Below are 20,301 nucleotides of genomic sequence, written 5' to 3' on the forward strand. Positions count from 1 at the left end.
ACCTAGTAACGTAACCTCAGAGCCGTTCCTCAGCTAGAAAACAAAGGGATTAGGCCGGGCGCGGGTTTGTAATCCCAGCACTTTGGGAGGCCGAGGCCGCAGGGTCACTTAAGCTCAAGAGTTCGAGACCAGCCTGGGCAACATGGCGAGACCCCCATCTCTACAAAATATTTAAAAAGTTAGCAGGTTGGGAGGTTCGGTTGAGCCACGGGTTCGAGGTTGCACTGAGCCATGATCGCGCCACTGGGGTCTGAGCGAGACCACCTCCCTGAAACAGAAAACGAAGGGGTCGGGTATAATGATTTCTAAGGTCCCTCGTAGTGAACCCTAAAAGTTATCACACCCCACGGTGGGGCTATCGCGGCTTGAGGGCAGCCACAGCCTCAGCCGGGGTTTCTGTCCGGGCCCTGATGGGTCCCCAGCAGGGAGAAACAGCGTCCGGCGCGCTGTGGCGCTCGGCGAACGTGCGCTGAGTTCAGGCGTTACAACGGGGTCGCACGCGGAGTCCAGGCCTGGCAGGGGTGCCAGGACGCCGCCGGCCATCTGGGGCCCGACCTCCCAAGGTCTCCTCCCCGCGGCCGGCGGCTAGCGCGCTCACGGCGCCCGGGCCTTGCGCGCCCGCCGGGGGCGAGGTCAGCCCTCCCCCCTCGGCTATTGGCTCCAGAGAACAAAGGAGCCGCCCCGCGGGCTGCTCCGATAGGGCCGGGCGGGTCATCTGAGCGGCGCAGCCAATGGAGTGGCTGGGCGGCCCCGGGGATGGCCAGGCCCGCCAGCCAATCAGGCACCCGTGCCCGCCCCGCCTGCCCCGGGAATGGCCAGGGCCGGGAGCCCGGTGCCCAAGTCGCCCTCGGGGTGGCAGTTCCCGTTAACCTTAGCCACAAAGTCAAAGGTATTTATTTCCCCGTCGCCTCCCTCCGAGTCCCTCTGCATTTTGGGCGGGGAGGGGCGGTGCGAGGGATGGACCAGCGCCCGGCCCCGCTCCTCCCGTGCTGCCTCCGCCCGGCCCGGGCTGGGGCGGAGGGATGGGGCGGGGGCCTGGGGTGCCCCGAGCCCCGCGCGCCCCCCGAGCCCCGGGTCTCAAGCGTTCCCTCTGCCCCGACACAGCCGAGGGGAAAGGGGCGCGGCCGAGGGTGGGGAGGGCGCCAGGCCAGGGCAGCGAGGTTAGGAGGGAGGCTAGTGAGAATGGAGGGAGGACGCGGTGGCGAGTAGAGGGGTCGCCCGCGGGCGGTCTCTCCTGGGCTGTCCCGTTGTTCCGAGTTCCCCGTCCCTGTTCGCCTCCCTGATAGATCAGTTTCTGGGGGCAGGAACCCCAATGCTCGCTGCAGAGTGACAGACACATAGTAGGTGACCAATAAATGTGTGATTAAACGAGCGGGGATAAGGATTGGGGGTGGAGATAAGTGAGAGGGAAGCACCGCAGAAGTTGGAAGTGTGTGGTGTCGGGTGTGGCGGAGAACTCCTCTCTAGGAAGATGGGCACAGCAGCCGCGAACTCGGTGGGGCGGGGTGCGGGCATCCCCTCTGTGAAGAACGTTGAGGATATCTACATGTGGAAGGTGTGGAGATGGGTCCTCCTTCGGCCCTTTGAGCAAGATGATCTGAGCTGGGGCTGGGTGTGGTCAGAGCCCCAGGGGTTGGAGGCGGACGACAGCCCAAGGCTTCACAGCTAACTGTTCCCATGTTCATCTGTAAAATGAAGAGATTAGATGGCAGTTGTCTCCTTTCAGCTTGAAGGTTCATGCTTCCGTGCTTCAAATCTGTTTTGTACTGAAATTTCTTTTATTTAAGTGTTCCCTTATGACAGTTTTTATTAATGGATTACTGTGTGTGGAGCCTGTACTGGGTGCAGGGGAGAGAGAAGGACCCTGTGTTAAGATGCATGTAGTCTTGTGCAGACTAACAAATTGATGACAATGATGATTCCATGTAGATGGTCCTAGGTGCACAGGTTAAACAGAGAAGGGATTCCTGGCTGTGCCTGGTGTGTCCAAAAAGGCTTCCTGGTCAAAGCGATCCCTAATCTGGGCTGGGAAGGGGAGAACTGAGCAAGGGCCTTCCAAGGTTGGTCACAGGGTGCGAGGACACGGTGAGTTCAAGAGCCACGAGAGGATGGGGCGTGTCGGGGTGCAATGGGGAAAGATGAGCAGAGTTGAGTTCTCAGTTCCCTCTTATCCGAGGTGTGCGTGCCAGCAAGTCCATTTGGTGGGGGTCTGGGTTTCTGAAAAACAACTCAAGGACATATGCTAAGATGTTACCTTTAGTTTCTTTAGGCAACCACACGTTTCGTGTGGTCTGACTTCCTTGCTATTATTTTAGCTACGATTACCTTCTTATCAGGTTGCACATTTACTTCTCAGGACCAGCTAGGTGCCTGGAATTTCCCTGGAAAGAACTCAAGATTTTCCTTTATTTTCATGATTGGAGGGCACAGCAGGTGCCTGAAGGGGTCCCTGCTCCATCTCACTTTGCTTTCCCAAGGTCCTTTGAATGCAGCAAGGGATGCAAACGTGTTTATTAATTAAAATGTGACACCTCTTCAGAGATTGTTAGCAGCTGGGTTTATCCTCGGCCTTCAGCTCAGATGCAGGCCCTGACAGGTTCCTGAATATTAGAATTGGGGCCGAGGAATGTAAGTGCAGCTCTCGCCTCTGAAGGGAGGTGGGTGAGGAGGAGGGGGCCAGGGGTGTGGCGCAGGGGAGGTGTGGGTGGGACAGTTCCAGCAAGCGTGTTTACCTCTGGCCGGTGAAGGAAGTCTTGGAAGGAGGTACCTCAGGATCATGGCTGGGGTTGAATTGGGGACCTCTGGGAGGTGGGCAGGCATAGTGGATAAGGCAAGTGACCTGCTTGCATGCAGATCAGGTCTCCTGGGAATGTCGAGGGGAGCAAACTGAAGCCATGAAACCAGGCTGGCTGTTCATACCCTGAGGTACAGTTCTTATAACCCTGAGTGGGGAGCGGGTGATGGCAACAGCAACGACCTAAATCGAATTTGTCTTGCACCTTGGGAATGTCTCTCAGAGTCCTCTCACACTGTTTGCGTCCCGCCATCCCCACCCCCCACCGCCCCCGCCCCACTTGATATAACAATTCTGTACCACGAGCAAGCGTTATTTCCATTTTCAGGTGGGGAAACTGAGGCCCAGAGAAGGAAAGTGGTTTGCCTGGGATCATGTGGCTAACCAGAAGCAAACCCAATCTCAGTCCCTGTCTGGGGCCTCTCAGCGGCTTTTTCCACTATGGCCTGTTCTTTGGGTTGGACAGTGGCCCGCCCTTTCCCTTGGCTCCCCTCCTCTGTTCCCTCCCCAGATTGAGGACTGGGGTGTTTGGGAGACTGAGGTCTGAAGATGGTGGAGTAGGAAGAGGGGAAGGGTCAGGGCTGGGAGAGTGGTCACAGTGGGGGTGGCCTTGTGCTGAGTGGGATCCGGGAAGTTGGAGAGGAGCAGGGTGGGTCATGGGGGGTGGGACAGGGGAGTTGTGGGAGGCTTCAGGGTGCCTGATGCTGGGTGTGGGGATGGAGGCCTCCAGGTGGGGGAGGGGATGCCCACCTGGTTTGGGCTGGGACCTCTGGGAGGGGCATGCAGAACCACCCTGGTAAGTGGAGGGCTCTGCAGACAGTGCCACAACCAGAGCCGTGGCAAACCCTCTTCCTCCTGCATGGTGGAGCGTGGAGGCTCCTGTGTGGCGCTGGGGGCCTCTGAGATTCCCAACTGGCTGGAAGGAGTGATGGCTTAGGAGGAGTGAGTGGCAGCGGGGACGCTGGCAGAGAGGCTTGTACAGATACTGCCCGATGCATCCGGCTCAGGCTTGCCGCCCTGTGGTGCTCCTCCCAAACTCAGGGAGCAGGTATTTCCGTTCACCTGCGCCTTCAAGAACCTGAGCTCAAAGCGCTGCAATGACTGGCCAGGGACTAGCAGCGGCTCAGTGGTGGGTGGGCTGGGACTTGGGGTTCTTGATTAAGACATGGGGTCCTGAGGGGAGGGACCAGGAAGGGTGGCCTTGAGAAGGACATCCCTGCCAGCCTCAGGCAGTGGGCTTCTAGGGGGAGACTAGGGCTGAGGAGCCAGCCAGGTGGCGGCTGAGGGTCACCCAAAGATGGCTGAAGGGGAGAGGGCCCGCTGCATCCCCTTGGGCCAGAGCCCACAGGCCAGGCCCTGAGGATCTTAGGCTGCACCAGGCTTGCCGGACACAGGCTCATTGTCTCTAGGGCTTTCTGTCTTGCTGTAACGTCTCTCCAGCCAGCTGCAGCTCCTGCTGACTTATCCCACCCCAGCGCAGGTCATCCAACGGTGACTTATGGCCCCGGCCTCCTGGCTCGATGAGGGTATGTTGCTTCTGTTTCTACCTCTCTGAGTTCTTTTCCTCGGAGCAAGTGACCCTGATGGGATGGCCATGGGTGTACAAGGATACTTGTGTCATGGGTGGCTTTGCAGTTCTGTGTTCCTAAGTGTGCTGTGCAGTGATTCGTGCTGCCCTGGTTCACAGTGGCACGTTTGTGTGTCTGTGGATCTGTAGGTGTGTCTGTGAGTTTTAAAAAATATCTCACATTCTCTGTATTTGCATAGACAGTTTTGCAGGTGTTCTCACGTAGTTTTGTGTCTTTGAACTTTTGTTTACTTAGCTGTATTTAGATATGATTGTATCTGGGTGTGTTTGTGTGTGGTTTAGCATTTACATCAGTTTCTTATGTCCCTATGATCATATATTTAAATTAAAAACATCTGCTATTAACTGAAATCAGAGGCAGAGAATACCATTGCCTGGTCCTGAGGGATTTCTTAATAGTGACAGAAGACTGGAGCCTGAGGAGCCACCTCTTGGGTCCTCCATTGTTTCATTCACTCATCCGTTCATTCATTCAATACACATTACACACCTTCTGCATATGAGGGACGCGCAGGTGTGGGAGCAAGCCCCCGCTCCCTGGGGCTAACCTGAGTGAGGGGTCTCACAGGGAGAGAGGACTGGGTGAGGACATAGCAGTCAGGTATGGGCTGCAGGAGGGCAGGGAGGCGCTGGGGACCCGGTGGAGTTGAGAAGGATGAGGCTATAGAAAGGGGCAGCATGGCAGGGAGGCATTGGCTGGGCATGGGCTGGGACTGGAGAGGCCAGTTTCTGTGGGGGTCTCCTATGGAAGACCAGCTGAGCTGTGCCCAGCAAGTGAGGACCTGCTGGGACCTCAGGGCTGAGAAGGGCCTGATACTGGGCCTTTGGCTGGGGTTTGGGGAGCTGCCCCCACCCCCAAAAGCCTTAGCGCCTAGTGGCGGATCCTGCTCCCGCTCCACTAGCAGCAGATGATACCTGTGGCATGGTCTGCTTCTGACTGCCCGACCTGGGGCGCTGAGGCTGTGAGAGCTGTGCTGGGCTGGTGGGAGGTTCCAGGGGCGGCGATGGGGAGGACCTTGCCTCTTTCTGGCCTGTGGCCTTTCTCCTCCCCCAGCTGCTGTCTGGCCGCCCCACCCCCAAGTCTCTGCCACAACCAAAGCTCCTTTGTTGCCTCCCCCTGCCCCGGGCCTCTCCACCTGCTGCTAGCTCAATCCCCTCTTTGTGTGGTTGGTCTTCAGTTGTCATGGCAGCTGGGCCCAGGCTGAGGCCTGCCCACTGTGAGGCTCTTAACTGAACTGCAGCCTGACCCGGTGCGCGGAGGGCCGGGCCAGGGCCAGGCGTGGGAAGGGGGCCCCTGTGTGTCCTGCTCCCCTCAGAGCCCGAGGGGCAGCAGAGAGGAAAGGTGGTCCGGTAGGGGCCCGGGGGCCCTTGTGCGATAGACAAAGCGGCCTTCCAAGACTTGGTGTGGGCACTGGTGGGAGATGGCGCATCTGGCCCTTGATGCCTGTCTTCCAGCCGGGGCGCTTTGCTGGGCAGCCTGCTCACCTGGCTCCTGGGTGTCTCCAGGTGGCTGAGGACATGTCAGGATGGTAGGTTAGGAGGGGCCCGCCATGCACAGAGCAGAGTGAAAGGCAGAATAGGAGAGAAGCTTAGGGTGGGGACGTGTGTGTCTGGCCAGCCTGGAACATGACACATGGAGGGCTTTCCTGGATTTTGTCTGTAGGACACCTGCTGTGCCATTTCCCAGACATAGCCCACCTGAGCACACAGGTAGAGGCGGGTCCCCAAAGACTTGGCCTCCCCTCATTCCTGTCCTCTGTGTTTCCCCCTTTGAATTTCTCACTTCTTCCTCTTGGGTCCTCTTCCTTCTGTCTCCATTTCTGTTCTTACGTAAGCCACAGGCTGCTTCCCCTCGAGCCCTGGTATGGCCCGAGACAGAGGCACCGAGGCTTGAGGGAGGAGCTGCTCTGGGAGGTCCCGGACAGTGGAAGGCCTGCTACTACCTGGAGTGGCTGTTAGGTCCTAATACCTCTTGGGAGGCAGGGTGGGTGAAGTAGGACTGTCTTTGATTTGCCTTGGGGGTCTCGCTCTGTGGAGACCCAGGCCCATCCTTCTGTCCTCCTGAATTTGTGGCCTGGGCTCTGCCCTCCTCGGTCTGAGTTCCCCTTACCAAGGTGGCTTCTCTGTCCACTAGCCCCTCTGCGCCTCTTCAGGTGGATGTTAAGTCCAGTTGGTGAGAGGTTTCCCAAGATGTGGCATGCAGAAGCTCACAGAGTGGCCCCAAGGGAGGAGGGTGGCGAGGGAGGGAGGAGCCCCCAGCACCCATCAGAGCCCCACCAGGGGCTCCTCCCGCCCCCTTCCCCACTGCTCGCCTTTTCTCTGCACCACAAGCAGGTTCTGTAAGAAACCATGGTAGGCATGCGTACAGGCCCCTGTTGGGGAAATAGAATTGAAAACAAAATCTCTTGCCAACCCAGAAAAGCTCTTTGCAAAAGTAGAAGAGAAAAACAGCTTTTAAAAGATTGAATGTGCATGAAACCAGAATGTGGTGCGCACCATGGACAATCCCCCGAGCAACTGCAAAGACGGGAGCTCTGAGCCTGCAATACCCCAAGCGACTGCAAAGACGGGAGCTCTGAGCCTGCAATACCCCGAGTGACTGCAAAGACGGGAGCTCTGAGCCTGCAATACCCCGAATGACTGCAAAGACGGGAGCTCTGAGCCTGCAATCCCTGAGTAACTGCAAAGACGGAAGCTCTCAGCCTGCATGTAGCCGGCAGGTGCAGCCCGTTACAGACATGTTCTCAGGATAAACAGCAACCAGCCCTCCAGCAAGAGGACTGGACATTACCATTTGTCACACGCAGGCAGGTCGTCCTAAATTCACCTCATAATTGGAGTGACCATCTGTGTTAGCTAATTGCCTTTACCCACAGGAAAAATAAAGTTCTTATATTTTTATGACAGGAGATAGTTTTGTGATTTGGAGCCAGGCACCTGCTGAAATTAGGCTCCTACCCTCCCATGGAGACTGGGAGGCAGGGGTGATGTCTTCCTTGATACTTAAATTTCAAAGAAATGGCCCCCAGGACCTTGGGAAAGACAGTCCTGGGTTGTAATGTTGGCAGAAGGCTTATTTAGCTTTTTTTTGAGACAGAGTCTCACTCTGTCACAATCTCGGCTCACTGCAACCTCTGCCTCCTGAGTTCAAACAATTTTCCTGTCTCAGCTTCCCGAGTAGCTGGGATTACAGACATGTGCCACTACACCCAGCTAAGTTTTGTATTTTTAGTAGAGACGGGGTTTCCCCACGTCGGCCAGGCTTGTCTCAAACTCCTGACCTCAGGTGATCTACCCACCTCAGCCTTCCAAAGTGCTGGGAATACAGGCATGAACCACCGTGCCCAGCCTTATTTAACTTTTAAAAAGATTTATTTCTACTTGAGGAGCATTTACTGCAAAAATAAAAAATAAAGATTCACATGCATCTCAAAAAGACAGAGATAGAGCTTATTAATTAGAAGTTTCTAAACAAAATGCTCTTGAAAAAAGTGGGTGTCTCTTCTTCTCTTTGCACCAGGGAAAATGACTTTCTGCATTTTCTAGATTCATATTCACCCCTCCCCCGACGTCTCTTGTCAGGGTCCAGATTCCCAGTCTGTGTGTGTGCCCCCAGTGTCTGGGCTCTGAAGGGGACCTAGGAGAGGGAGTCTGGGTCTCTGCGAGGCTCTCGGGCCCTGGGGTGGGTGTTTCTGTGGGGGTGGCCGAGCCAGGGTGCCTGGGAGGAGGGGCTGACTGAAATCTGGAAGAGCCCCTCCCTGAGGCAGCAGGAAGGACGAGCTGTGCATCTCTGTGGGGCAGCCACATCTTTGCTCTGCTAGGGGGTACAGGTGCACGGGACCACATCCCTGTCCTTAGGAGAGGTGCACCCCCAGCGAGGAGGAGATGAGTCTTCAGGCTGCACAGCTCCTGGCCAGGCAGGGCAGCACATTCCTGCCACCTGCATTTGTTACGGGCCCTCTGTGTGCCCGGCTCTGCTCTGAGCCCTGCGGATCCAGCAGCAAGCATGAAGAGCTCCTGACCTTGCTGTGGTGGGGAACAGAAAAGTTAAGATCATGTCAGGTGGCAAAAATGTTAGAGAGGAAACGGGAGGTGGAGTTAGGCTGGTGACTGTAAATAGGAGCGCCAGGGGCCAGCACGGTGGCTCACGCCTGTAATCCCAGCACTTTGGGAGACCGAGGTGGGTAGATCACAAGGTCAGGAGTTCAAGACCAGCCTGGCCAATATGGTGAAACCCTGTCTCTACTAAAAATACAAAAATTAGCTGGGTGTGGTGGCGCACACCTGTAATCCCAGCTACTTAGGAAGCTGAGGCAGGAGAATCACTTGAACCCAGGAAGTGGTGATTGTAGCGAACTGAGATTGGGCCACTACACTCTCAGCCTGGGCAACAGAGGAAGACTCTGTCTCAAAAAAAAAAAAAAAAAAGAAGCACAAGGGATGCCTGCTCTGAGAAGGGGACATTTAAGCTGGGAGCTGATAGAAGTGTGGGGGGCAAGCCAGGCGGGGATCTGCGGTGAGGGGACAGCCAGGGCAAAGGCGTGGGGCATCCACACAGCAGTGTGACCTGTCCTGTCATGTTCCAGGCACAGAGTGAGCCACTCAGGAAGCGCTCAGAAGACTTGGGCATAAAAACAAAAAAAGAAGGCCGGGCGCAGTGGCTCACGCCTGTAATCCCAGCACTTCAGGAGACTGAGGCGGGCGGATCATGAGGTCAGGAGATGGAGACCATCCTGGCTAACACGGTGAAACCCCGTCTCTACTAAAAATACAAAAAAATAGCCAGGCGTGGTGGCGGGCGCCTGTAGTCCCAGTTACTCAGGAGGCTGAGGCAGAATGGCGTGAACCTGGGAGGCGGAGCTTGCAGTGAACTGAGATCCCGCCACTGCACTCCAGCCTGGGCAACAGAGCGAGACTCCATCTCAAAAAAAAAAGATGAATCCTACATCAGTGAACTGGGCATGGGCTCAGCAATGCCCAATTGACCGTGTGTGTTCTTGTATGGAGATGGCTGGCCCCGAAGCTCCCCAGAGGGATTTGTGCTAGAACATGGATGGGGACTTTGAAAGAGGGGGCGGGTGACGGAGGAAACGTGTAGGGCCATTCTGCCTTCCGGGTGCATTCCTCATGGCCAGTCGCAGACATGTCTCTAACCTTACTCCAGGCTCCTGCTTCTCAGGCGTGGTGTCCATCACATGCCGCCCTGCGAATGTTGAGGGTGTGGGCTCTCGTGTGGGAGTTAGAAGACCTGGGTTTTTGTCCAGCTCTGCCATTCATCACCTCCATGACTCTGGGCACATCAGGGGTCCTTCGTGGTCTCAGTTTCCTCTTTTGTAAAATGGGAATTATGGCTGTTTTACCTTCTCAGCAGGTATGCTTACAATGAAAGAACCCCTGCCCATGTCGAATGTGGCTATGGATAGAAAAGCTCTTTGGAAAAGAGAGTGCTTTATGGGATGGGAGGGGGGCTGGGGACCCTGAGTTTTGTCCTTGTCCCACAGGCCCATTCTCTTTCTTCTGCTTCTCTTTCTGACAGATGGCAGGAAAGGGACACAGCCGGCGCTGATGCTGGGAGGCCTCCAGGGATGGAGAGTGGCCTGGCTGGCAACGGCACAGGTAAGAGAGAAGAAAGAGGAGGCAGGGGAGCGGGGTCTCCTCTGCTGAGGTCACGTGCCCTTATCTTTTCTAAAGCCAGGCGCGAGCCAGTGCCCTCAGCCAGTAGCTAGTACATCCCACTGATGCAGAATTTCAGGGTGGGGACCAGGACTTAGACAGCCATGTCAAAGAATGGAACAATGACAGAGGCTGTGGGAGCTCAAAAAATGGCAAAGCCTGGTCCATTAACTTGCCCAGCAAGGGGACACATGTGCACCCATGCCTTGTAGAAATTGAGGTGTTATTTACGTGCTAGAACAGGGAGTTTGTGGGGTTATACTAATTAGACACGGAAAACTGGCACTCTAGGTAGGACGATTGGAACAAACCTGTGGCTCATCAGTCAGGACATTGTCTTCAGTTCAGTCCATTAACGCTTCCTGGGGGTCACTCAAAGTTCAGGGTCGTTATTGGCTAAGCCGCTTAGAGCTGGTTGTGATGAAATACATGCTGCCAGTGGAAAGTTTGCCCGCACAGTCATGTGCTTTTGGCTGGAGCCCCTGCCCAGCGTCCCTGCGCCTGGAGTGGAGCAGCCCCTGGCGTCTGTGTGTAGCACTTGCAGCCCTTCCTGGAGTGCCCTGTCGCATGTGGCGTGTGGCCCAGCTGCCAGAAGGGCTCTAGGCCCCTTGGCAGGGTTGAGTCCAGAGCACACCGGCTACCCTTGGGAACCCTGCCCTTTGGCACAGTGTGACTCGGGTTTCTTTACCTCCCTCTCCCCTCCCAGGGGAATTGCCCCATAGACCCCAGGGCCCCTTCCTCATTGCCTCTGTGGGAAGAGCCGCCTCCCCTCCCAGGAATATCATGTCAGGAGACCCAAGACTGAGACAAAAATCAGGCAGCGGGGTAAAAGAGAAACGTGGCCGCAAGTGCAAAACATGGCAGCGTGGTGTGTGGACACAGACCCTCAGGGAGCCTAGCCATGCAGCTGCGTGCCTGTCCAAGGAGCCAGGTGGTGGCAGGAGCACCCTAGCTGCATGTGTGTTTTGGAAATTCCAGTGGAACTCAGAGCACATGTGCCCAGCGTGTTATAGAAGGCCCTTTCCCCAGATAGACTCATACCTGGGATCCTGAGTCACTGTGAGGTTGCTCTGGTTGATGTGAGCTGTGGTCTGCTGGGGTCCTCTCTCCTCTCTACGGCAGCTTCTGGGGAACCCTGTGGTTTTAGAGAAGAGTTTGAAAAACACTAGCCTAGACTCCTGGAGACACGGAGGCACGTGGGGACTGGCCTCTGGCCAGACTGAGGGAACCACTCATCTGGAGGACCCCGTTTTTCAGACAATTGACAGCTTACCTCTTTTAAGCAACTTTTAATTTTTATTTGTGTGTGTGTGTGTGTGTGTGTGTGTGTGTGTGTGTGTGTGTGTGTGTGTGTGTGTGTGTTATGGCAAAATATACGCAACACTTACCATTGTAACCATTTTTAAGTGTACGGTTCAGTGGCATCAGTACATTCAGTGTTGTGTAGCCATCACTGCCATCTATTTCCACAACATTTTCATCACCTGGGAAACTGTACTCATGGAGCAATAATCTGTGCTTTGCACCTTCTAATTTTATCTGAACCATTAAAACCTAAAACATGATCCTTTTCATGATGACTGAGGAGCGGTGCCATTATTTCGGGACTCTCCACGGGCAGGCCAGTGGCCTGCGCTCTTCATATGGATACCTGAACCCTCGGGAGTGTGCCTGGGGCTGCTGGAGCCCCAGCACACTCCACCTCAGCTCCAGGGCCTCCAGGGATGCGTGCTGGACTTAGCACCTCGCCCAACCCAGTCATTTGCGTCCGCCAGGGGCCCTTCGGCAGGTGGATGTGACAGCACTGTCCTGGCATCCTGGGGCTCTCTGGCCCACAGTCATCTTTCTGGCTGGAGAGGGCTGAGGGGGAACCAGCCATCAGCCACCTGATGGACACAGCACAGCCACCGGTCTCAGATTGGTGTGACTCATCCTGGATCATGCCTGTGTGTATACATAGAGACATATGGTTTAATTTTTTATGAATTCAATCAGATGATTCATATGGTTTTTCAACTTGTTTTTTGTTTTCTCTTAAAATGTTTTGAGAATCTTTTCATATTGGCATACATAGTTCTTTTCCATTCTTTTTACTTGATGCATAGTATTCCATATTATGAAGGGAACTATTTTTTAGGATAATTAAGTTATTTTCCATTGTTTGCTGATTACAAAGAACACTTCAGTGAATATTCCTGGACATTCCTCTTTACACTCGTATGTCAGTATTTCTTTGGTGAACACGTGGGATGGAATTGCTGGCTGGAAAGGGCCAGAAGGCTCTCCACACTTCTAATTTTAATAAACACTGTCAGATCGTCCTCCACAAATTCTGCCTCAGTTTATGCTCTCAGAATACCCATGTGTATACTTGTTCTCCTGTGTAGTGTCCACGCATATTGTAAAGTAGAGGTATTATTGATTTTTTAAATTTTTGTTGGTATGAGGGGTTGAAAGATGCTACACTTTTAGTTTGCATTTTGTTGATGACTAGTGGGGTTGAACCTCTTTTTATCACGTATAGGAGTCTGTTTTATAGTCTGGATACTAAGCGTTTGTCTATTCTATATCTGCACATATTTTTTCCTGGACTTGCACTGTCCAGCACGTGGCCTAGCCACATAGGACTCTTCTAGTTTAAGTTTAGGTTTAAATTAACTTAAGTACGGCCAGGCGCGGTGGCTCACGCCTGTAATCCCAGCACTTTGGGAGGCCCAGTTCGGTGGATCACCTGAGGTCAGGAGTTTGAGACCCGCCTGGCCAACATGGTGAAACCCCATCTCTACTAAAAATACAAAACTTAGCTGGGTGTGGTGGTGGGCGCATGCAATCACAGCTACTTGGGAGGCTGAGGCAGGAGAATCACTTGAACTCCAGAGGTAGAGGCTGCAGTAAGCCAAGATCGCGCCATTGCATTCCAGCCTGGGTGACTGAGGGAGACTCTGTCTCAAAAATAAATAAATAAATAAAAATTAGTTAATTAATTTAAATACAATTAAAAATGTCATTTCTTAGTTGCACTAGTCACATTTCAAGTGCTCAGTAACCACATGTGTTTCAAGAGCTCAGATGTAAACTGTTTTTGCTATTGCAGAAGGTTCTGTGGGAAAATGCTGCTCTAAATTCCCATTTCTTTTTCCTTTCTTTCTTTTTTTTTTTTTTTTTTTTTGAGATAGAGTTTTTGCTTTTTTTGCCCAGGCTGGAGTGCAGTGGTGTGATATCAGCTCACTGCAACCTCTGCCTCCCTGGTTCGGGTGATTTTCCTGCCTCAGCCTCCTGAGTAGCTGGGATTGCAGGCACATGCTACCACACCCGGCTAATTGTTTTGTATTTTTAGTAGAGACGGGGTTTCACCATGTTGGCCAGGCTGGTCTTGAACTCCTGACCTCAGGTGATCCTCCCGCCTCGGCCTCCCAAATTGTTGGGATTACTGACGTGAACCACTGCACCTGGCGGAAATTCCCATTTCTATTGGACTTATGTTTATAGTATCTTTTGTCATACAGATGTTTTAAATTTAGTTTTTATCTTTTGTATCCTGTTTAAGAAGGCTTTTAATTACCTCTGGATTCTAAGCAAATTCTCCTAATTCTTCTAATACTTCCATTTCCTTTTTTTAAGCTGGCACTTAAGTCCATCTGGAACTGATTTTTATAAACAATCTTCACTATGAATCTAACTTAAATATTTTCCCCAAAGAGAGAGTTGGTTCTAAGTCGATGAATAGCCTTTTTCCATGGACTTGGAATATCTCTTGTATCATGTATCAAACAATACTGTTCCATTGGCCTATTTGTCTATTATGTGTACTGTACATTATTGTAATGATTATATTTAGCATTTTTACTTTTACTTTTATTGTTTTGTGGAAGGGAATCTGACTTGCAGCCTTAAGTCACCAGGCCCACCATGGAAGAGCCATGCCAATAACAATAACAACTGTGTCAGTCAAGAGTTCGGTTTTATTTTCTTTTTTTCCCAAATGGATCTCTCTCTCTCTCTCTCTCTCTCTCTCTCTCTCTCTCTCTGCAGTGGCATGATCAGGGCTCACTGCAGCCTCAGCCTCCTGGGCTCAAGCAGTCCTCCCACCTCAGCCTCCAGAGTAGCTGGGACTACAGGTGTGCACCACCACACCCAGCTAATTTAATAAATTTTTTATACAGACAGGTGTTGCTATGTTGCCTAGGCTGGTCTTCAACTCCTGCACTTAAGCAATCCTCCTGCCTTAGCCTCCCAAAGTGCTGGGATTACAGGCAAGAGCCACTGTGCTTGACCTAGACTTTATCTTTTAGAGCAATTTTAGCTTTACAGAAAAATTGTGAAGAAAGTAGAGTTCCCCTATACCTTAGCTCCAGTTTCTCCTATTATTAACATTTTGCATTCATATGGTACATTTGTTATAACTGATGAACCAATATAGATACATTTTTATTACCTAAAGTCTGTAGTTGACATTAGGGTTCTCTTTTGGTCTTGTACCTTACCTGGGTTTTGACAAAGGCATAATGTCCCGTATCACTATTATAGTATCATACAGAATATTTCACTGCCCCCCAAGTTCCCTGTGCTCCGTCTGTTCATCTCTCCCTACCCCCCAACCCCTGGCTACCACTGGTTTTTAAATTCTCTCTGTAGTTTTGCCCTTTCCAGAATGTCATATAGTTGAAGTCATACAGTGTGTAGCCTTTTATGTTGACGTCTTTCACCTAGAAGTTTGCATGTAGGGTACCTCCATGGCTTTTTTGACTTAATAGCTTACTTCTTTTTATTGTTGACTAATATTCCATCATGCGGAGTTATCCATTCACCCACTGAAGGACACTGTGGTTCCTGCCCAGTTCTGGCAGTTAGGAATAAAGCTATAAAAATTCATGTGTAGTTTTCTGTGTGGACAGAGGTTTTCAGCTCTTTTGGGTAAATACCTAGGAGAGCGACTGCTGGATTGGATGGTAAGCCTGTATTTAGCTTTGTAAGAAACTGCTGAACTGCCTTCCAGAGTGGTGGCAGCACTTTGCATTTCCACCAGGAAGGAAAGAGCCCCTGTTGCTGCTCAGCCTCACTGTGTGCACATGCCAGTGATCTGGATTCTAGCCACTCTCATTTATTTTATTTTATTTTTATTTTTTTGAGACAGAGTTTTGCTCTCGTTGCCCAGGCTGGAGAGCAATGGTGTGATCTCGGCTTGCTGCAACCTCTGCCTCCTGGGTTCAAGTGATTCTCCTGCCTCAACCTTCTGAGTAGCTGGGATAACAGGTGCCTGCCATCACACCCAGCTAATTTTTTGTATTTTTAGTAGAGATGGGGTTTCACCATGTTGGCCAGGCTGGTCTTGAACTCCTAACCTCAGGTGTTCCACCTGCCTTGGCCTCCCAAAGTGCTGGGATTACTGGCATGAGCCACTCTGCCCGGCCAATTCTAGCCATTCATATGTGTACAGTGGTAGCATTTTTGCTTTTAATGTCGTATAAGCCAAATTCTTCTTTGTTCATTTTTAGGATTTTCTGGGCAATTTGTATAGATGATAAATTTTACAGTTCACTTAAATAGGATTACACTGAATTTAAACATTATTTCAGAGTGAAGAACATCTTTGGCTTCTCATCTAAGAATATGATATACATTGCTCCTTTTCTTTAGTTTTCTTTATCTCTTTAGTAAAGTTTAATAGTTTTCTTTGTATATGTTTTGCATGTTTATTGGGTATATTCCTAGTTACTTGTATTGCCATTTTTTAAAAAGTGATTTTTGTATGTTTTTGTACTGGGCAATCTTGCTGAACTCTTATTTCTATTTCTCAGTGGATTCCCTTGCACATTCCAGGTTGTTAATAATCATAAACAAATGGCAGCTTCCTCTCCTTTCCAATGTTGATGCGTTTCTCTTTGTTTTCCCCTCTGCCTTGGCTAGTTCCTCAAGGACAGCCGGCTGATTTCAGGGATGGTGAGCATCGCATTTTGTTTCTACCTGTAATGGGCTTCTAATCTTTTGCCTTTGGTTATAATGTTCGCTGTAATTTCTAGAGTACATTCTTTGTCAACTTAGTTTCCTCTATTCTTAGTTTGCTAGGAGCTTTCTTCTCTCTCTCTCTCTCTCCCTCCCTCCCTCCCTCCCTCCCCTCTTCCTCTTTCCCTACCTTCTCCCTCCTTTGATCCTTCCCTCCAGAAATAATGTTGAATTTTATCATATGACTTTTTCACATCTATTGGGAGTTTTTTCACTTTTAATAAGGTAATGTTATAAATTATATTGGGCCATCTTTGCTTTCCTGGGGAAAATCTCAGCAAGGTTAGGGTATGTTATTATTTTGATACCACTGAAGTTGCTTTGCTAATGTTTGTGTCTATGTTCAAAGAATGATAAACCTTTTGCCCACTTCCATTCTTGGCTTGATACTGGAGTTATGCTAACCTTGTAGACTTTTCTTTCCCTTTGCTCCTATTCACTGTAATAGTTCATATAAGGTGGAAAAAGTCCTCACTTGAGGCTTTAGCAGCACCTGTTTATATAGTTACAGAGCCTGTTACCCATTTTTGAGGTACACTGAGATGTTCTTCTCAGTCTCTTTTAGTTGTTTATGTAGTCAGATTTTCTACCTACTCTTGGGTCAGTTTTAGTTTACATTTTCTTGCAAAATCTTCTATTTCATATAGATTTTCAAATTTATTTATATAAAGTCCATATTTGGGGATTTTCAGAATCCTTTTTGCGGCTACATGTCCCTTATCTATAATCTGTTTTTATCTTTATTAATGCCGTTCTTCTACTTCCTTTGGGTTTATTTTGTTGGGTTTGTAACGTTGACGTCTGTTTAAAGATTTTTCTCTTTGTTCACAGCTGTTTTATTCCACCTACTTTTAATTACATGTAAACCTTTTTGGAAAGGTGCATGGATCACAAGCTCTGTAAATTCTTATAAAGCAAACATTCCCCTGTAACTAGCACCCACATCAATGGAGAACATTGCCAGAACCTCAGAGCCCATGCTGCCTTCCACCCACAGTGCCCTCTGTAATAGGGCATTATCCTGACTTCTAACTCGTGGGTTCATTTTGCCAGTTTCTCCTCTTCACATAAATGGAATCACACAGTATGCATTCTTTAGTGTCTGTGGCAGATGGTTTCTTTATGGCTTCTTATTCTGTGAGCTGGGAAGACAAAGTGCCTCTGTAGACTTGTGCACGGCCCAAGTGTGGGCTGGGAGCAGTGGGTGTGGGACCCCCATGAGTAAAGTGGATTGGATTTAACACAAAGGGAAGGCGACACCTCTTTTGGGTGCTGAGGTCTTTCTGGCCTACTTTCTTGTTCTTGGTTTTGTTGAAGGAAGATGAGTTGCCAGACAGCCAAGGTCCCAGCAGGTGAAGTGCTCCCCCGCCATGGCTTCTGCCTTGGAGCAGGAGCCCCGACAGTATAGACGGTGCTGCAGTGACCCAGGGGTTGGTCTCCCTGACCACTGAGGGACTGAGCATGCCTTTGCTTAGAAAGCTTCCAGCACGTCGATCCTCTTAGAAAAAGAATGGTATGTTTTGCAGCTTGGCCACTTTCTCCTTGCCCCCTGGGTCAGCAGATTTCACTGGATCGGTTTCTTTAAACCTTCTCTGCATCTCCTCGGCCTCAGGGTGGAGAAGGCAGAGCAGCCGGTGCCTCGGGGATCCTGAGGCCTGGGCACCCGAGTGATTCACTTACGGTTCCTTTCTTGTATTTTTCTCCTTCACTCCTTTCTATATCTTAACCTGCCCTTGTTGTCCTTTCTGCCTTCCCGACTCTTTTTTCTTCTTTTGCCCCTGTTTTCTTAGGTTCATTTAAAAATCTTTCCCTTCTGCCTTTTCTCGTGCCCTCTTTTCAGCCCCTCTCTGCCCTCCTGCACCACTTCCCTCTCTCTTGCTCCTTCTCTCCATCCCACCCAGCGGAGCAGCAGTGACCTCTCTCCCTCCTCTCTCCCGCTTGCCTCTGGCAGGAGCTGGGCTGGTGATGAAGGTCAAGCAGGAGAAGCCGGAGCGGCTGCTGCAGACGCTGGCGCCGCAGGCCATGCTTGTGGAGAAGGACAAGGAGAACATATTTCAGCAGCACCGGGGCCTCCCGCCACGCCAGACCATGGGGCGGCCTCGAGCCCTGGGGGGACAGGAGGAGTCTGGGAGTCCAAGGTGGGCCCCTCCCACTGAGCAGGATGCGGGGCTGGCAGGCCGGGCTCCCGGGTCAGCCTCCGGCCCCCTGAGCCCCTCGCTTTCCTCCGGCGAGGGTCACTTTGTATGCCTGGACTGCGGGAAGAGGTTCAGCTGGTGGTCGTCCCTGAAGATCCACCAGCGCACCCACACCGGGGAGAAGCCGTACCTCTGCGGCAAGTGCGGCAAGAGCTTCAGCCAGAAGCCGAACCTGGCGCGCCACCAGCGGCACCACACGGGCGAGCGACCCTTCTGCTGCCCCGAGTGCGCGCGGCGCTTCAGCCAGAAGCAGCACCTGCTCAAGCACCAGAAGACCCACTCCCGGCCCGCCACCCACTCGTGCCCCGAGTGCGAGCGCTGCTTCCGTCACCAGGTGGGCCTCCGCATCCACCAGCGCGCGCACGCCCGGGACCGCCAGGGCTCCCGCGCCGGCCTGCACGAGCTGATTCAGGACGCGGCGGCGCGCCGGGCCTGTCGCCTGCAGCCGGGGCCGCCGCGGGGGCGCCCCGAGTGGGCCTGGCTGGGGCTCTGCCAGGGCTGGTGGGGCCAGCCCGGGGCCCGGGCCGCGGTCTCCGGCCCCGAGGGGCCGGGCGAGCCGCGCCAGTTCATCTGCAACGAGTGTGGCAAGAGCTTCACCTGGTGGTCGTCGCTGAACATCCACCAGCGCATCCACACTGGCGAGCGCCCCTATGCGTGCCCCGAGTGCGGCCGCCGCTTCAGCCAGAAGCCCAACTTGACGCGGCACCTGCGCAACCACACAGGCGAGCGCCCGCACCCCTGCCCGCACTGTGGCCGCGGCTTCCGCCAGAAGCAGCACCTGCTCAAGCACCTGCGCACGCACCTGCCCGGCGCCCAGGCTGCGCCCTGCCCCAGCTGCGGTAAGAGCTGCCGCAGCCGCGCCGCGCTGCGCGCCCACCAGCGCGCCCACGCTGTCGCTGAGCCCGCCGTTCCGGCCGGGGAACCGGGCGACCAGCCGCAGGCCGAGGCCATCCCGGGCTTGGCCGCGAGGCCGCGGAGCTCCCAACGGTCCCCGGGGGCCCGGGACACGCTGTGGGGCCGGGGACAAGCGGGCCTCGCTGGGCCTGGCGAGCCGCGCCAGTTCATCTGCAACGAGTGCGGCAAGAGCTTCTCGTGGTGGTCGGCGCTCACCATCCACCAGCGCATCCACACGGGTGAGCGGCCCTACCCGTGCCCCGAGTGCGGCCGCCGCTTCAGCCAGAAGCCCAACCTGACGCGGCACCGGCGCAACCACACAGGCGAGCGGCCCTACCTGTGTCCCGCCTGCGGCCGCGGCTTCAGCCAGAAGCAGCACCTGCTCAAGCACCAGCGCGTGCACCGCGCGGCCCCTGCGTGCAGCCCCAAGGAGGAGGCGCGCTAGTGGACTGGACCTCAGCGGACCCGTGGTGGTGCGGGGGATGTTTGCGGGGTGTGTGTGGGGAGTGGGGGTGGCCAGGATTGCTGGCTCTTAGAACCCCTTAGAGCGGGACCGGTGGATTCCTTAAGGCTCTGAAGGGCTGAGAACAGTTCTAGAAGCGTCCCAAAGGGTGCTGGGAAAGGTCCCAGCGTGGGTTGAGGGAGGAGGGAAGATCCGAGTTCCTCACCGCGGGCCGGGATGTGACCACCCTCTTCAGAGGTTGGACCCCAGGCTTCAAGCACCGAGTGAGGGGTCTGTTGGGGACGCTGGGAGAGTCTCTGGTGTGAAGTGGCTTAGGTCTGGACTGGTCAGCTGTGGCACCAGCCGGTCCTGCCCACGCTTCAGGATGGCCGGGGGCTGCCCCTGTGGGAGAGTTGCCAAGACTCGGCGATACCAAGGATGGAAGCCAGAGGCTGTGGCGAGGGAGAGCCAAGCATATTCCCAGCACCAGGGCCACTGCTGGCACGTCGTAGACATCCAATAAATATTTTTGGAAGGAGTGAATGGTTTGATGTCCCTCTCCATCCCTGCCAGCCCCCTGCCCAAGGTGTGTGTGTGGTTGGGCCCGACTCTAGAACTGGTATGTGTGTGATGGTCAGGCAGGCATGAGCGGGGTGGGCTCTGCTGAGGCTTGGCTGCCTGAGGAGGTAGCTGTGCAGGAGAGAGCCAAACA

The 20,301-nt window shown here is 53.1% G+C and overlaps 1 protein-coding gene and 1 long non-coding RNA gene across 8 annotated transcripts, besides 7 other annotated features; one reads left to right on the forward strand and one right to left on the reverse strand.

Annotated features, from left to right (window-relative positions):
* Positions 386 to 1,195: a silencer, noted in NCBI's record as "silent region_18778". NCBI's record gives its function as "represses an Ori minimal core promoter by ATAC-STARR-seq in GM12878 lymphoblastoid cells {active_cell/tissue: GM12878}" and the evidence as "EXISTENCE:reporter gene assay evidence [ECO:0000049][PMID:35858748]".
* ZNF775 (zinc finger protein 775) lies at positions 827 to 20,127 on the forward strand. 7 transcript variants are annotated; one of them, XM_047420222.1, is made up of 5 exons: positions 827 to 3,842; positions 4,204 to 4,320; positions 9,919 to 9,998; positions 15,963 to 15,995; positions 18,010 to 20,127. In XM_047420222.1, exons 3-5 carry the CDS (start codon positions 9,968 to 9,970, stop codon positions 19,590 to 19,592), a joined length of 1,647 nt encoding a protein of 548 aa, XP_047276178.1. In that variant the 5' UTR covers positions 827 to 3,842; positions 4,204 to 4,320; positions 9,919 to 9,967; the 3' UTR covers positions 19,593 to 20,127. The 7 variants fall into 7 exon arrangements, with proteins under 7 accessions (XP_047276178.1, XP_047276179.1, XP_047276177.1 ...); XM_047420223.1 differs by having other exon boundaries at positions 4,235 to 4,320; XM_047420221.1 differs by having other exon boundaries at positions 827 to 4,320.
* Positions 1,342 to 5,488, reverse strand: ZNF775-AS1 (ZNF775 antisense RNA 1). The gene is made up of 2 exons (NR_183445.1): positions 5,298 to 5,488; positions 1,342 to 1,685 (listed from the first exon to the last, which is right to left on the reverse strand). It is a non-coding gene; the product is annotated as a ZNF775 antisense RNA 1 (long non-coding RNA).
* Positions 1,986 to 2,045: an enhancer, noted in NCBI's record as "active region_26827". NCBI's record gives its function as "activates an Ori minimal core promoter by ATAC-STARR-seq in GM12878 lymphoblastoid cells {active_cell/tissue: GM12878}" and the evidence as "EXISTENCE:reporter gene assay evidence [ECO:0000049][PMID:35858748]".
* Positions 3,339 to 4,297: an enhancer, noted in NCBI's record as "H3K27ac-H3K4me1 hESC enhancer chr7:150078931-150079888 (GRCh37/hg19 assembly coordinates)". NCBI's record gives its function as "activates a minimal SCP1, AML or CMV promoter by ChIP-STARR-seq in naive H9 embryonic stem cells {active_cell/tissue: H9 hESC(naive)}" and the evidence as "EXISTENCE:reporter gene assay evidence [ECO:0000049][PMID:30033119]".
* Positions 5,254 to 6,209: an enhancer, noted in NCBI's record as "OCT4-NANOG-H3K27ac-H3K4me1 hESC enhancer chr7:150080845-150081800 (GRCh37/hg19 assembly coordinates)". NCBI's record gives its function as "activates a minimal SCP1, AML or CMV promoter by ChIP-STARR-seq in naive and primed H9 embryonic stem cells {active_cell/tissue: H9 hESC(naive and primed)}" and the evidence as "EXISTENCE:reporter gene assay evidence [ECO:0000049][PMID:30033119]".
* Positions 7,679 to 8,251: an enhancer, noted in NCBI's record as "H3K27ac-H3K4me1 hESC enhancer chr7:150083270-150083842 (GRCh37/hg19 assembly coordinates)". NCBI's record gives its function as "activates a minimal SCP1, AML or CMV promoter by ChIP-STARR-seq in naive H9 embryonic stem cells {active_cell/tissue: H9 hESC(naive)}" and the evidence as "EXISTENCE:reporter gene assay evidence [ECO:0000049][PMID:30033119]".
* Positions 8,252 to 8,822: an enhancer, noted in NCBI's record as "H3K27ac-H3K4me1 hESC enhancer chr7:150083843-150084413 (GRCh37/hg19 assembly coordinates)". NCBI's record gives its function as "activates a minimal SCP1, AML or CMV promoter by ChIP-STARR-seq in naive and primed H9 embryonic stem cells {active_cell/tissue: H9 hESC(naive and primed)}" and the evidence as "EXISTENCE:reporter gene assay evidence [ECO:0000049][PMID:30033119]".
* Positions 10,057 to 10,655: an enhancer, noted in NCBI's record as "H3K27ac-H3K4me1 hESC enhancer chr7:150085648-150086246 (GRCh37/hg19 assembly coordinates)". NCBI's record gives its function as "activates a minimal SCP1, AML or CMV promoter by ChIP-STARR-seq in naive H9 embryonic stem cells {active_cell/tissue: H9 hESC(naive)}" and the evidence as "EXISTENCE:reporter gene assay evidence [ECO:0000049][PMID:30033119]".
* Positions 20,128 to 20,301: the final 174 nt, after the last annotated feature.

This window comes from Homo sapiens, chromosome 7, assembly GCF_000001405.40.
Source record: "Homo sapiens chromosome 7, GRCh38.p14 Primary Assembly".
NCBI lineage: Eukaryota > Metazoa > Chordata > Mammalia > Primates > Hominidae > Homo > Homo sapiens.